Below are 13,236 nucleotides of genomic sequence, written 5' to 3'. Positions count from 1 at the left end.
GAGAGCAATGGCATGGTCTCGGCTCACTATAACCTTCGCCTCCCAGGTTCAAGCAATTCTCCTGCCTCGGCCTCCGGAGTAGCTGGGATTACAGGCATGCGCCACCACACTCGGCTAATTTTGTATTTTTAACAGAGATGGGGTTTCACTATGTTGGTCAGGCTGGTCTCAAACTCCCGACCTCAGGTGACCCGCCCACCTCGGTCTCCCAAAGTTCTGGGATTACAGGAGTGAGCCACCGTACCCGGCCTTTTTTCTTTTTTTTAAGACAGGGTCTCACTCTTTCATCCAGGCTGGAGTGCAATGGTATGATCTCAGCTTACTGCAGCCTTGACCTCCCAGGCTCAAGGGAGTGCAGTGGCTCGATCTTGGCTTACTGTATCCTCCGCCTCCCAGGTTCAAGCGATTCTCCTGCCTCAGCCTCCTTACTTGGGATTACAGGTGCCCACCACCACACCTGGCTAATTTTTGTATTTTGAGTAGAGATGAGGTTTCAGCATGTTGGCCAGGCTGGTCTTGAACTCCTGACTTCAAATGATCCATCTGCCTCGGCCTCCCAAAGTGCTGGGATTACAGGCGTGAGCCACCTTGCCCAGCCTTTTTTCTCCCCTCTCACATATTTCAGACATCTTTCCAAGGTAAAACCCAATTCCAGCTAATCCTTTTAAAATAACTGCAATTACGTAACAATGATGTCTAGTCATCTATTGACAACACTGCTGGTGTTTACCCATAAACGTCCCTATCACTCAGGCTGCAGTGTAGTGGCATGATCACAGCTGACTGGCCTTGAGCTCCTGGACTCAAGTGATCCTTCCACCTCAGCCTGTGGAGTAGCAGGCACACACCATCATTCTTAGCTAATTTTTTTTTTGCAGAGATGGTCTCATCATGTTCCCCAGGTTGGCCTCGAATGATCCACTGGCCTTGGCCTCCTAGAGTGCTGGGATTACAGGCATGAGCCACTGTGCCTGGCCCCGTGAACTTTTTTATTTTGTTTTTGATTGCCTTTGTGGTATTTCTTTTCTTATACTTGAGTTCACTTCCAGGGTAAATTCCTGCTTGGGATAGCTGGGGAAAAGATTATCATTGTCTTTGTGTGTGTGTGCTGTTTTCCATAATACAGTGTGTAGTGTGTATATGTGTGCATCATTCCTCTCAGCCTTAATCTTTGAAGTCAGTTCTAAAGGGTAGATTGTGATTGTACCTATGCAAGTAGATTATGCCCGCATAGTGTGGCCATAACTTTGTTTTGTCAGTTAGAGACCGCATATACAACCATGGTCCCATAAGATTGTAATACTAATTTTTACTGTACCTTTTCTCTGTTTAAATTTGTTTATAGGCCAGGCGCAGTGGCTCACGCCTGTAATCCTAGCTCTTTGGGAGACCAAAGTGGACAAATTACCTGAGCTCAGGAGTTCGAGACCAGCCTGGGCAACACAGTGAAACCCTGTCCCTACTAAAATGCAAAAAAGTAGCTGGCCATGGTGGCATTGCGCCTGTAATCCCAGCTACTGAGGAGACTGAGACAGGAGAATCACTTGAACCTGGGAGGCAGAGATTGCAGTGAACCGAGATCACGCCACTGCACTCCAGCCTAGGCGACAGAGCAAGACTCTGTCTCAAAAAAAAAAAATTAAGTACTGCTTAATTTTTTAACGTCTGCCTCCCGCATTGAAGTGATTCTCCTGCCTCAGCCTCCCGAGTAGCTGGGATTACAGGTGCGCACCACCACACCCAGTTAATTTTTGTATTTTTAGTAGAGACGGAGTTTCACCATGTTGGTCAGGATGGTCTCGAACTTCCAACCTCAGATGATCCACCCGCCTCAGCCTCCCAAAGTGCTGAGATTACAGGCATGAGCCACTGCACCAGGCCCAAGAAGACATCTTCCTAATATAAAAATGCAGCTGGGCGTGGTGGCTCACACCTGTAATCCTCACACTTTGGGAGGCTGAGGGGGGCAGAACACCTGAGGTTGGGAATTCGAGACCAGCCTGACAATCATGGAGAAAAATCCATTTCTACTAAAAATACAAAAGTAGCTGGGCTTGGAGGTGCATGCCTGTAATCCCAGCTACTCGGGAGGCTGAGGCAGGAGAATCACTTGAACATGGGAGGTGGAGGTTGTGGTGAACCAAGATTGTGCCATCGCACTCCAGCCTGGGCAAAAAGAGTGAAACTCTGTCTCAAAGAAAACAAAAAAAAAAAAGCAAGGTAAGGCAGTAAATGCTGATGTAGAAGCTACAGCAAGTTATCCAGAAGATCTAGCTACAATAACTACAGTAGCTACACTAAACAACATATTTTCAAAGTAGACAAGACAGTCTTCTATTGGAAGAAGATGCCATCTAGGACTTTCATAGCTAGAAAGGAAAAAAACACCTTGCTTCAAAGGACAAGGTGACTCCTGTTAGGGGCTAATGCAGGTGGTGACATTAAGCTAAAGCAATGCTCATTTACCATTCTGAAAATCTTAGGGCCTTTAAGAATGATGCTATTTCTACTCTGCATGTGCTCTGGAAATGGAATGACAAAGCCTGGATGATGGCATATCTCATTTTTGTTTTGAGATGGAGTCTCTGTGTCACTCAGGCTGGAGTGCAGTGGCACAATCTCAGTTCACTGCAACCTCTGTCTCCTGGGTTCAAGTGATTCTCTTACCTCAGCCTCCTGAGTAGCTGGGATTACAGGCACCTGCTGCCTTTTGTATTTTTGGTAGAGATGGGGTTTCACCATATTGGTCAGGCTGGTCTCAAACTCCTGACCTCAAGTGATCCACCCGCCTCGGCCTTCCAAAGTTTTGGGATTACAAGTGTGAGCCACCGCGCCCAGTTTAGCATATCTGTTTATCACATGATTTACTGAATATTTTAAGCCCACTGTTGAGACCTACTGCACAGAAAAAAAAAAAAAAAGATTTCTTTCAAAAATTATGGCTGCTCATTAACAATGCATCTAGGCCGGGCGCAGTGGCTCACATCTGTAATCCCAGCACTTTGGGAGGCCGAGGCGGGTGGATCACAAGGTCAGGGGTTCGAGACCAGCCTGACCAACATGGTGAAACCCTGTCTCTACTAAAAACACAAAAATTAGCTGGGCGTGGTCATGGGCGCCTGTAATCCTAGCTACTCAAGAGGCTGAGGCAGGAGAATTGCTTGAACCTGGGAGGCGGAGGTTGCAGTGAGCCGAGATCACGCCACTGCACTCCAGCCTGGGCGACAGAGGAAGACTCCCGTCTCAAAAAACAAAAAAACAATGCATCTAATGCATCTGTCAAGAGCTCTGATGGAAATGTACAAGGAGATTAATACTGAGATTAATACTGTTTTTCATGCCTGTTAACACAACATTCATTTTGTAGTCTGGATCAAGGAGTGGTTTTGTTACTGGTAAGGAGTCTGGATCCAGACCCTAAGAGAGGATTCTTGGATCTCACGTAAGAAAGAATTCAGGATGAGTCCATAAAGTGAAAGCAAGTTTATTAGGAAAGCAGAGGAATGAAAGAATGGTTAGTCCATAGACAGAGCAGCCCTGAGAGTTGCTGGTTGCCCATTTTTATGGTTATTTCTTGATGATATGCTAAACAAGGGGTGGATTGTTCATGCCTTCCCTTTTTAGACCATACAGGGTAACTTCCTGATGTTGCCATGGCATTTGTAAACTGTCATGGCGCTGGTGGGAGTGTAGCAGTGAGGACAACCAGAGGTCACTCTTGTCGCCATCTTGGTTTTGGTGGGTTTTAGCTGGCTTCTTTACTGCAACTTGTTTTATCAGCAAGGTCTTTATGACCTGTATCTTGTGCTGACCTCCTATCTCATCCTGTGACTAAGAATGCCTTAACCTCCTGGGAATGCAGCCCAGTAGGTCTCAGCTTTATTTTCCCCAGCTCCTGTTCGAGATGGAGTGGCTCTGGTTCAAATGCCTCTAAGAGTTTCAACTTCCAGGTCTTATTATTTCAGAAATACTACATTTTGTAAGCTGCCATAGTTTGTTATTTCTCTGATGGGTCTGGGCAAAGTAAAGTGAAAACCTGGAAAGGATTCACCATTCTAGATGTTGTTAAAAACATTCGTAATTCATGGGAGAAGGTCAAAATATCAACATAAACAGGAGTTTGGAAGAAGTGGCTTCCAACCCTCATGGATGACTTTGATGGGTTCAAGACTTCAGTGAAAGAGCCAGGCACCGTGGCTTATGCCTGTAATCCCAGCACTTTGGGAGGCCGAGGAGGATGGCTTGAGAGCCAGGAGTTCAAGACCAACCCAGTCAACACAGTGAAATCCTGTCTTTACAAACAACAAAATTCAGTGGAGGAAGTAACTGCAGATATGATGGAGATAGCAAGAGAGCTGGAAATAGCAGTGAAGCTTGAAGATGTGACTGAATGGTGGCAATCTTAGGAGAAAACTTGAATGAATAAAGAACTGCTTCTTACAGATGAGCAAAGAAAGTATTTTTTGAGATTGAGACAGAGTCTCGCTCTGTCACCCAGGCTGGAGTGCAGTGGCGCAATCTCAGCTCACTGCAACCTCTGCCTCCCATGTTCAAGTGGTTCTTCTGCCTCAGCTTCCCAAGTAGCTGGGACTACAGGCGTCTGCCACCACGCCCAAGTAATTTTTTTTGTATTTTTAGTAGAGATGGGATTTCACCGTGTTAGCCAGGATGGTCTCGATCTCCTGACCTTGTGATCCACCCGCCTCGGCCTCCCAAAGTGCTGGGATTACAGGCATGAGCCACCGCGCCCGGCCTGTTGTGGGTAAAATATTTTCAGACAGTATCACAAGTTACAAAGAAATCTCAGATAAAGAATCAATATAGCCAACATCATTGTTGTCTTATTTTAAAGAAATTGGCATAGCCATCCCAACCTTCAGCAACCACCACCCTGATCAGTGAACAGCCATCAACATCAAGGTAAGATCCTTCACCGGCAAAAAAATTACGACTCCAGAAGGCTCAGAGGATCATTAACATCTTTAACAATAAAGGAATTTATAATTAAGGTATGTACGTTGTTTTTTTTTTTGGTTTGTTTTTTGTTTTTCCCGAGATGGAGTCTCACTCTGTCTCCCAGGCTGGAGTACACTGGTGCGATCTTGGCTCACTGCAACCTCTGCCTCCCAGGTTCAAGCAATTCTCCTGCCTCAGCCTCCCGAATAGCTGGGATTACAGGTGCCTGCCACTATGCCCAGCTAATTTTTTGTATTTTTAGTAGAGATGGGGTTTCACCATGATGGCCAGGCTGGTCTCGAAGTCCTGACCTCATGATTCGCCTGCCTCAGCCTCCCAAAGTGCTGGGATTATAGGCGTGAGCCACCGTGGCCGGCCTGTACATTGTTTTTTAGATGTAATGCTATTACACACTTAACAGGATATAGTGTAAACGTAGCTTTTATATACACTGGGAAACCAAAGTCATATGACTTGCTTTATTGCAATATTTGCTTTATTGTTGTGGTCTGTGTTGATCTAAAAGGAAGAGGCTGAGGCACAAAATACAATTTAGAGTTTACTTGAGCCAAAGTGAGGACAGCTGCTTGGAAGACTCAGCCCCAAGTAACCTTGGATATGACCTCTGTATGGCTTTTGTTACCAACAGGTAGGTTGGTTGATTGATTAATCACTGCCCTCTAGACTGGGTGACAGAGCAAGACCCTGTCACCCAGGCTGGCGTGCAGTGATGTGAACATGGCTCGCTGCAACCTCAACCTCCTAGGCTCATGCAATCTGCCCAACTCAGCCTCCTGAGTAGCTGAGACTACAGGCGTGTACCACCATGCCCAGCTAATTTTTGTATTTTTTGTAGAGACAAGGTCTCACTATATTGCCCAAGCAGGTCTTGAACTCCCAGGCTCAAGTGATCCTGTCATCTTGGCCTCCCAAAGCGCTGGGATTACAGGCATGAGCCACTGAGTCTGGCCCATTTATGTATTTATTTGACAAGGTTTCGCTCTGTCACCCAGCCTGGAGTGCAGTGGCACAATCATGGCTCACTACAGCCTCAGCCTCCTTGGCTCAAGCAATCCTCCCACCTCAGCTTCCTAAGTAGCTGGCATTACAGGCGTGTGCCACCGTGACCCAGCTAATTCTTTTATTTTTTTGTACAGACGGGTGAAGGAGTCCTACTTCCTCGGCCTCCTAAAGTGCTGGGATTACATGCGCAAGCCACTGGACCAGGCCATAAGCAGGTATTTAAAGGGTAAAAAAGCGGACAGGGAGTGGGCTGATACAAACTTGTTCATCAGAAATTCTCATTGGTTTACAGAAATAACATTGATTAGTAATTGACTATACATTGCTAACCTATGGGGTGTGGGTTATAGTGTCTGGTGCAGCATTATTAGGTTAATTTCTAGCTACTTGTGGCAATAACGGGCAGTTTCAGGAGATGAATACATAGCTCAAAGGAGGGAGTAGAACGTGATTGCTGCTTCATTTTAATGTCTCTCTGGGCCTGATAATTTAAAAACACTCACATTCCTGAGATAAAAGTTGTTTTCTTTTTTCATCTGGAGCCAAACCCACAATATCTCTCAGGTATGCCTGTATAAAATGAACACATGTCAAAGAATTATTAATAAATTTACAGTTGATTCAGAGGAGAATTTAAAATGAGCTCCTAAATTGCTGGCAATTAGGAATGTTGAAAAGAACTTACAAACAGATGCAAAACATGATCAATATCCACAGGCAATAACTGCATTCCACTGGACAAAATAATTTGCATTTCTATGGACAAGAATCATTTGCATAATTATCAGTTTTCTACAATTTATAGAGTTGTAAAATAGCTCAAGGACGATGAAAGACACAGGGAACCTGGAAGGGTATGCTAAGGCAAGCTATCAAGTCATCTTTTTGATGCTTTCAATTTTTTTTTTTTTTTTTTGAGACAGAGTTTTGCTCTTGTTGCCCAGGCTGGAGTGCAGTGGTGCAATCTTGGCTCACCGCAACCTCCGCCTCCTGGGTTCAAGCAGTTCTCCTGCCTCAGCCTCCCCAGTAGCTGGGATTATAGGCATGCGCCTCCACACTCGGCTAATTTTGTATTTTTAGTAGAGATGGGGTTTCTTCATGTTGGTCAGGCTGGTCTTGAACTCCCGACCTCAGGTGATCTGCCCCACCCCCCCCCGCCTTGGCCTCCCAAAGTGCCAGGATTACAGGTGTGAGCCACTGCGCCTGGCCGATGCTTTCTAAGTTTTTAACAACCTTTACTAGGATGTCATCTCCTTGAAACAGGGGCTGTGTCTGACTGTACCCTCTATGCATAGACCATTGTAGGTGTTTAGTGAAGACTGCTTGACGGAATGATTGGACATCTGTTGATTTTTTTCCCCCAACCTTCTTAGTGCCCTTTTTGGAGGTGAAAACAGAATATTTTTGGATGTAATTGCTCACGCCTCTAATCCTAGCACTTTGGGAGGCTAACACAGGAGGCTCATTAGAGCTCAGGAGTTTGAGACCAGCCTGGGCAACATGGCAAAACCGTCTCTACAAAAAAATTTCAGAAATTAGCTGGGCATGGTGATGAATGCCTGTAGTTCCAGCTTCTTGGGGGACTGAGGTGGGAGGATAGTTTGAGCATGGGCGGCCAAGGTTGCAGTGAGCCATGATCGCGCTACTGCACTCTAGCCTGGGCGGGACAGAGCAAGACTATCTCAGATGGAGTCTCGCTCTGTTGCCCAGGCTGTAGTGCAGTGGCGTGATCTCGGCTCACTGCAAGCTCCGCCTCCCAGGTTCATGCCATTCTCCCGTCGCAGCCTCCCGAGTAGCTGGGACTACAGGCACCCACCACCACGCCCAGCTGATTTTTTGTATTTTTAGTAGAGACGGGGTTTCACTGTGTTAGCCAGGATGGTCTCGATCTCCTGACCTCGTGATCCACCTGCCTCGGCCTCCCAAAGTGCTGGGATTATAGGCGTGAGCCACTGTGCCTGGCCAACTCTATCTAAAAAATACACACACAGCCCAGAATATTATTAAATTTTAGCTAGATATTGTTGTTCATGGAAAGTTCTCAACCTAAGACGTTCTTTTTCTTTCCAAAAAAAACAAAAAACAAAGGGTTGGGAAAGGACTGGATTGGTAAGTGTTAGAGAGAGACACAGTTGGTTGGGCACAGTGGCTCACGCCAGGCTTGTAATCTCAGCACTTTGGGAGGCCAAGGCGGGAGGATCACTTGAGGCCAGAAGTTCAAGAGCAGCCTGGCCAACATGGTGAAACCCCCTCTCTACTAAAAATACAAAAATTTGCCGGGCTTGGAGGCACACACCTGTTATCCCAGCTACTCGGGGGGCTGAGACAGGAGAATCGCTTGAACCCGGGAGATGGTGCCACTGCACTCCAGCCCAGGTGACAGAAGGAGACTCTGTCTCAAAAAAAAAAAAAAAAAAAAATGACACACACAGTCTTATTAGAGATTTTAAAATGATTTAACATCACATTCTAGCCCAGTGGCTCTTAACTAGGGACAATTTTGTCTCCCCAGGAGACATTTCATGATGTGTGAAAACATTTGTGGTTGTCACAGCTGGTGTGAGGCAGCTACTGGCATTTAGTGGGTAGAGACCAAGAATGCTGCTAAATTTCCTGTAATGCATAGCACAGCCCCCCATGATAAATATTCAGCCCAAATGTCAATAGTGCCAAGGTAGGGAAACTGCTTTGGGGGATACCTAGAATGTTTATTCAGAGAGAATTCATGGAGAGAGAATTGTAGGCACTAAAAGGATTTTATTTTCTCACTCCCAGCCTGAGTTTACCCAAAGCATATTTATTATTTATTCCCATTTTCCCTGCCTCCTCCATCTCTCATCACTGCCCGTACCCTTGACTTCTTGCCCACTTACCACCAAACACTCCTTCTTTACAGCAGGTCCAAAGTAGCAGTGGGGCAGGGCGCAGTGGCTCACACCCATAATCCCAGCACTCTGGGAGGCTGAGGCGGGTGGATTACCTGAAGCCAGGAGCTCGAGATCAGCCTGGCCAACATGGCGAAAACCCGTCTCAACTAAAAATACAAAAATTAGCCGGGTATAGTGGCGCGCGCCTGTAATCCCAGCTACTTGGGAGGCTGAGGTGGGAGAATTGCTTGAACCTGGGAGTTGGAGGTTGTAGTGAGCTGAGATCATGCCACTGCACTTCAGCCTGGGCAACAGAGTGAGACTCCATCTCCAAACAAACAAACAAACAAACAAATAAATAATAAAGCAGGAGTGGGCTTGGAGGTCTATGAACATAAGGCTTCATGGTGGGCCAAGATGAGAGTTTCAAGGTATATTCCGGCTCCAGCCTGTCATCCATCGGGCATGGATGGCATGTGACATAGAGGCATGTGACATGACCTCTTTGGGCCACAGTCTCTCTGATTTCTGGAAAGTAGAAGTTGGACTAGATTGGCTTATCCCTCCAGGACCTTTCCACTCCACATACCTAGGAGTCAGGGGTGCACTGTACCCAGGACCTATTGGATGGAGAGGATTGTCAAGGGGCTTTTCCTGAGGAAGCAGAACCATGAGGTGACTATTCCTGGGCAGAAGGTAGTGCTGTGTCAGGAAGAGGGGTTGCTGTATACCCAGAAGGGGGCCTCAGATTAACCTCTCACATCTCATCACTTCCCCCAGCCTTGCCCCTCTCCTAGACCCTGGCACCGCTCTGGTGATCCCTTGGGTGTCTCGCTTGTCCCAAGCAGGCATCTGATTCTCTCTCAAGATGAGATTTAAGCCTGCAGGTGCGTCCCTTCCTGAGGGATTACCTTGCTGAAAAGGAGTTTCGGCCTGGTGCAGTGGCTCACACCTGTAATCCCAGGACACTAGGAGGTCAAGGCAGGAGGATGGCTTGAGCCCAGGAGGTCAAGGCCAGCCTGGGCAACATAGTGAGACCTTGTCTCTATAAAAAATAAAATAAATTAGCCTGGCATGCAGTGCACACCTGTAGTCCCAGCTACAATAGAGCAAGACTCTGTCTCTTAAAATAAAAACGGCCATGCGCAGTGGCTCATGCCTGTAATCCCAGTACTTAGGGAGGCGAGGCAGGTGGATCACCTGAGGTCAGGAGTTTGAGACCAGCCTGGCTAACATGGTGAAACCTCTTCTCTACTAAAAATATAAAAATTAGCCGGTCATGTTGGTGTGTGCCTGTAGCCCCAGCTACTCAGGAGGCTGAGGCGGGAGAATCGCTTGAACCTGGGAGGCGGAGGTTGCAGTGAGCTGAGATCATGCCACTGCAATCCAGCCTGGGCAGCAGAGTGAGACTCTGTCTCAAAAAATAATAAGAATAAAAACAAAAAGGAGTTTTTTTAAATGTATTTTCTCCTCTGATTATGAAAGCGTACTAAAGAAAATTTGGAAAGTAAAGGCCGGTTGCAGTGGCTCACGCCTGTAATCCCAGCACTTTGGGAGGCCGAGGCAGGTGGATCAGGAGGTCAGGAGATCGAGACCATCCTGGCTAACATGGTGAAACCCTGTCTTTGCTAAAAATACAAAAATTAGCTGGGCATGGTGATGGGCGCCTGTAGTCCCAGCTACTGGGGAGGCTGAGGCAGGAAAATGGCGTGAACCCGGGAGGCGGAGCCTGCAGTGAGCTGAGATTGTGCCACTGCACTCCAGCCTGGGCGACAGAGTGAGACTCCATCTCAAAAATAAAAATAAATAAATAAAGAAAGAAAATTTGGAAAGTAAAAAGGCAAAAACAAAACAAAACAAAACAAAAAACCACCTACAATTTCCCCCTCTCTTTCCATATGAGAGTGTTAGTACCTTTGAGGGTTAATAGTGGGCTCTTTCATCTTTTAAAAACTTATTTAAAGAAAAAATTATTGCAAAAGCAACACGTTTTGCTAGAGAAAAAGTAGAGAGTATTGACAAAACAAAAGCAATGAAATATTTAAGATCCACCTGGATGTACCGCAAAATGTTAATAAGGGAAACTGTCCCCATGACTGGGGACATGGATATAGGATGGGGACATATGAAACTCTCTGTGCTAATTGCTTATGTTTTCTATAAATGGAAAACTACTAAAACAAAAAATCCTGCTAATTAAATTGTATTTTAAAAACCCACCTGGAATCTTTCAGGGATGAGCATTGATAATGCTGTTGTGTTCATTCTTGAATTAGGGAAAACTATGAATATTCATATCATAGAAGTAGGACTTTTAATAGCTAACCTTTTCTTTCTTTTTTTTTTTTTTTTGAAACAGAGTCTCGCACTGTTGCCTGGGCTAGAGTGCAATGGCATGATCTCGGCTCACTGCAACCTCCGCCTCCCGGGTTCAAGCAATTCTCCTGCCTTAACCTCCTGAGTAGCTGAGATTACCAGTGCCTGCCACCATGCGTGGCTAAGTTTTTGTATTTTTAGTAGAGACAGGATTTCACTATGTTGGCCAGGCTGGTCTCGAACTCCTGACCCGTGATCTGCCCGCATTGGCCTCCCAAAGTGCTGGGATTACAGGCGTGAGCCACTGCGCCCGGCCGTGCCCGGGTGATTTTAATATATTTTTGTATTTTTGTTTTTTAGTAGAGATGGGGTTTCACCATGTTGGCCAGGCTGATCTCGAATGCCTGACCTCAAGTGATCCGCCCACCTCGGCCTCCCAAAGTGTCAGGATTAGAGGTGTGAGCCACCGCGCCCGGCCTCCTTGGTCTTCTCTTGTACCCTGTGTAGTAGTGGGGTTGAGAAGAGGGTGTGGAGTTTGAAAGGGGGATGTCTAGCAAAGCAGATGGGAGATGGTGGGACCCACACTGATGCCATAATTGGTGTGTCAGGGTGTTTATCCTTCTTCCATGCAAGAAGCCTTTATTGAGTGCCAACTTGTGCCATGCTATGTACGAAGCATCATTTTAGATGTAGAAGAGACAGCAGGAAGCAAAGCACACCAGGCCTGTTGGCTGGAGAATGCTATTTCCTCTCCAAATGTGCAATGCAGCAATTACTAATGACATGCTTCTTTTCTTGAGGAACTTCTCTGGTGCATGAGATAAGTCACACTTCTTGGTTTGAGATCCACCTCAGACACTGGGATATTTGGTGGCTCCATCCTGTGTGACAGCAAACACAAAAGGCATCCACTTGCTGGCAGTTAGCACTAACTTAAAAAAACAAACAAATAAAACAAAATAAAAGGGCCAAGCGCAGTGGCCCGTGGGAGCAGGGAAAGGCTTCTGGTGAGAGTTGGAAAGGTGGACTGGGCCGGATGCTCTTCCTTCATCCCAATTAAATCTCTATGGCATTTAGCAAATGCCAAGGAAGAGCCCAGCACTTTGGGAGGCCGAGGTGGACAGATCACATGAGGCCAGGAGTTCAAGACCAGTCTGGCCAACATGGTGAAACCCCATCTCTACTAAAACTACAAAAATTAGCCAGGCACATGTATAACCCCAGCTACCCGGGTAGCTGAGGCAGGAGAATTGCTTCAACCTGGGAGGCAGAGATTGCAGTGAGCTGAGATTTTGCCACTGCACTCCAGCCTGGGCGACAGAGGGAGATTCTGTTTCAAAAAGAAAAAAAAGAAACGGCGTCCAACATGATCAGTCATTAGATGTAACTATGTAAAAGTCAGCTTTAGATTAGTTTATATGGTATTATTACAATTTCAGGCTCTTTAGTTACATATTGATTTTTAAACTCCCTCACTTTGTTCCTTCCCTCTGTTTTTTTTTTCCTGCTCTCATAACTTTATCAGGCCTTTGAAAAGTTCATGGGTCCCAGACACTGTGTGGGAGGGTGTGGAAGTGAGTGTGGATGTGGGCTGCGGTGGAGATAGGTGTGTGTGTGAGACCGTGAATCACAGTGACAGGTAATGCAGGGTGACTGTCTGAGGCCTGAGAGTGGGGCCCATGTGCAAGCCCAAGAAAGTGGCTGGTGTGAGAATGAGGGTGTTCAGACTATTGAAGGGTGTTTGGATGAAAGAGGCAGGTGCGTGTGTGTCATGGTGAGTTCCCAGAATCCAGATAGAGAATGAGGGTGAGGATGGTGAAGGTCAGAGGGTGAAGGAGTCTGATAAGCTGAGGGTCCCTGTGTGACTGTGATTTCTGCAGGCACATGGGTGTGAGGCTTGAGAAACTGGGTGCATGGATGATGGTGACCAACAGGAGGGTGAGAGTGTTATGTGTGTGTGCAGGACTCACATGTGATTGTGAATGTTAGATGTTGCAGGCAGTGAGCAGTGGCAGGTGTGTGTGTAGGGCCTGGGCGTGAATATGCACGTTGGTGCAAGAGTGAGTGAGAATGA

The sequence above is a fragment of the Homo sapiens genome, chromosome 20 (assembly GCF_000001405.40).
Source record: "Homo sapiens chromosome 20, GRCh38.p14 Primary Assembly".
Lineage (NCBI taxonomy): Eukaryota > Metazoa > Chordata > Mammalia > Primates > Hominidae > Homo > Homo sapiens.
The sequence above is the reverse complement of the archived record's forward strand: the minus strand, read 5'-3'. Positions refer to the sequence as shown.